The sequence below is a fragment of the Homo sapiens genome, chromosome 14, assembly GCF_000001405.40.
Source record: "Homo sapiens chromosome 14, GRCh38.p14 Primary Assembly".
Taxonomy (NCBI): domain Eukaryota; kingdom Metazoa; phylum Chordata; class Mammalia; order Primates; family Hominidae; genus Homo; species Homo sapiens.
This window is the reverse complement of record NC_000014.9, coordinates 98,444,538-98,447,999: the sequence shown is the minus strand read 5'-3', so window position 1 is coordinate 98,447,999 and position 3,462 is coordinate 98,444,538. Positions and strand designations below refer to the sequence as shown.

General features: G+C 44.2%; 1 annotated feature.

Moving 5' to 3' along the window:
- Positions 1,836-2,337: an enhancer, noted in NCBI's record as "NANOG hESC enhancer chr14:98912000-98912501 (GRCh37/hg19 assembly coordinates)". NCBI's record gives its function as "activates a minimal SCP1, AML or CMV promoter by ChIP-STARR-seq in primed H9 embryonic stem cells {active_cell/tissue: H9 hESC(primed)}" and the evidence as "EXISTENCE:reporter gene assay evidence [ECO:0000049][PMID:30033119]".

Below are 3,462 nucleotides of genomic sequence, written 5' to 3'. Positions count from 1 at the left end.
TCAGTGAACTAATGGTCTTTTAAAAACACACCTCACCGAGCTCAGCCACGAACTTAAAAAGGACTAAACAATACTTTTACCACTTTCCCTTCTCAGAATTCCAGCCTGTCCTTGGAGTGCTGCAGGGTACAGCCCATTTGAGCTCCTGTATGGATGCTCCTTTTTATTAGGCCCCAGTCTCATTCCAGACACCAGACCAACTTAGACTGCACCCCAAAAAACTTGTCATCCGTACTATCTTCTGTCTAGTCATACTCCTATTCACCATTCTCCCATTCTCAACTACTCATAAATGCCCTGCTCTTGTTTACACTGCCAGTTTACACTGTTTCTCCAAGCCATCACAGCTGATATCTTCTGGTGCTCTCCCCAAACCGCCACTCTTAAAGTAAATAAATAATCTTTGCTGGCAGGGCTATGCTGAACCTCCTTAGGCACTTACTGTTTGGATGTCCTGAGTCCTCCCAATTCTTAGTCCTTTAATACCTGTTTTTCTCCTTCTCTTATTCCTTTTAGTTTTTCAATTCATACAAAACTGTATCCAAGCCATCGACAATAATGCTATACAACAAATGTTTCTTCTAACAACCCCACAATATCATCCCTTACCACAAAATCTTCCTTCAGCTTAATCTCTCCCACTCTAGGTTCCCACATCACCCCTAATCCCGCTTGAAGCAGCCCTGAGAAACATCTCCCATTATCTCTCCATACCACCCCCAAAAAATTTTCGCTACCCCAACACTTTACAACTATTTCATTTTATTTTTCTTATTAATATAAGAAGACAGGAATGTCAGGCCTCTGAGCCCAAGCTAAGCCATCATATCTCCTGTGACCTGCACATACACATCCAGATGGCTGGTTCCTGCCTTAACTGATGACATTCCACCACAAAAGAAGTGAAAATGACCTGTTCCTGCCTTAACTGATGACATTACCTTGTGAAATTCCTTCTCCTGGCTCATCCTGACTCAAAAGCTCCCCCGCTGAGCACCTTGTGACCCCCCCACCCTTGCCCGCCAGAGAACAACCCCCTTTGACTGTAATTTTCCTTTACCTACCCAAATCCTATAAAATGGCCCCACCCCTATCTCCCTTTGCTGACTCTCTTTTCAGACTCAGCCCGCCTGCACCCAGGTGAAATAAACAGCCTTGTTGCTCACACAAAGCCTGTTTGGTGGTCTCTTCACATGGACACGAGTGAAAGTTACCATGCTTGGTCCTGCTTCCCACTGTTATAATAGGTAGATTGGCAGATAAGAGCAGGACAAGAAAGGGCCCCGAAGAAGATCAGATGATTCCCAGATGACTGTCTTGTGATTGTCAGGTGGGCTCCTCAGGCATTATAAGGTAAGTGGTCACAACTGGGGGAAAAATTCCTGAGAAACAGGAAACATCTTGAGCTTGTGGGCAACAACTACCCAATAAGATCCTAGAAACTGAATCTTATTGGGAACCTTCATAATAAGGGTACCTTCATAACAAGGTACAGCAGACTGGGGGGTTTACACAATGGAAATTGATTTTCTTGTAGCTCCAAAGTCTAAATGTTCAAGATTAAGGTGTCAGCAAGGTTGATTTTTTTCTGAGGTCTCTCTCCTTGGGTGGTAGATGGCTGTGTTTTTGTCTGTGTCTTCACATGGTTTTCAAGTCTTCATGTCCTCACATGTCTTCAAGTGAGGTTGACCTAGGGCCCACTCTGAGGACCTCATTCTAACCTAATTACATCTTTAAGGCCCTATCTACAAATACAGGCACACTCTAAGGTCATCTTCTTCAACATATGAATTGAGAGGCAGGGGCACAATTCAGCTTATAACAGGTGTCATTACTCCCATTTTACTAATGAGGAAACTGAGGTAGCGTATTTTGCCTAAAGTCACACAGTGAGCTGGGATTGGAAACTGGATCTGTCTGAGACCAAAACCCACACCCCACCCTCCAAGCTGTATCGCTCATCCTGAATAAGGCAAAGTCAGGGCAGCCAACCCAACTTGAATCTTTAAAGGGAAAGCTGAGATGGGCCCCAGAGGACAGGAGATAAAGGGAATTGAATGCTGATTGCTGGCAGGGGTGTGGGAGGAGCTGCAGGACAGGCATTATGCAAGCAGAGATGGGAACATGGCTGTGGATTCCGTGTACCTTCTCAGACCAGCTGGTGCATGGTGCACTGATTTAGAGCTCCTTAAACATCCTAGGTGGAGACAGATCTAAAAGAAAGCTGCTCTTCTTGTGTTCCTGTGAGAGAAAGCTGCTTGCTAGCTGGAAAGACAGGGGATACTGTGGAGGGAGAGTGAGAAGAAGCCCAGTTCCTTCCCACATTACAGACCCTACGCTAATACAACAATAGGAGGTCGACCCATTGCTAATTGTTCTGGGAGGAGAAAGAGTGAGCATCACACGAATGTACAGGCACACAAGAGATGTAATAAACACAGTCTAACATATCACCAGCTCCCATACAGGGCTGATTTGCAATTGTAAATCCATTGGTAGCGTGCATGAATGCTAAGAACGTCGGAGTGCCGGGCTGTGAATTTGCCAAGGAAACTGGCGTGCTTTTCTACAAGAGAAGAAGTATATACCCTGTGGAAAATTATTTTTTTTCCTGTGCAATTAGGTCTGTCTCTCCATTTAAATCATTTTTAATAATCTCCTGATCAGTGCTGTATTTTTAACTGTGAATAATATAACTCTACATTTACACTAAACATAAACCATTGAACAAAAAGTATTTTATAAACTGGAACTTACCTTCCCTTAAATAATGGCTCCAAATAAGTGATTTCATGCAAGCAAGACAATCCAATTAAGCTGCTATCTTTGGAGCCGTAGGACTACATTGTTTAGCCCCACAGAGCAGGGATGGCCATACTACATCCATCGGGCCAAGTCCAGCCCATTGTTTTTGTAAATAAAGTTTTATTGGAACAGAACTACATCCATTTGGTTGGGTACTGTCTACAGCTACTTTTGCGTTACAACAGTAGAACTGAGTAGTTGCAGCAGCTATAGTATGGCTGGCAGAGCCTTGTATTTCTAGCTAGCCCTGTACAGAGAAAGTTTGCCCATCCCTGCCTTAGAGCCTTATGTCAGCAGGGTCCCTTCTCCATCCCAGGAAGCTCTTCCAGTGGAATCATACGAGGATGTGTCCAAGGCTCTCTTGAATCTGGTTCTGGTTCTAGTTGGCTCAGAACATCCAGTAACTAATAATGCTGTGACTACCATGGTTTGTTCCTGATGGTGTATTGGACTCAACTATCAACAGCAGTTCATAACTCAGAAGAGTCAGGGAAACCACTATAAAAAGACAAAATTGTAAAACGAGCACATATCCCTGTTGTTGGATGTTGGCACTGGTTCTAGGCCCACTTTGTGTTCAGACCCAGTCCTCGCTTGGGCCTCATTGAGCTCTCTCTCTGGGAGGGTTGACTTTTGCTGGTTCTTCTCCAGGTTTTA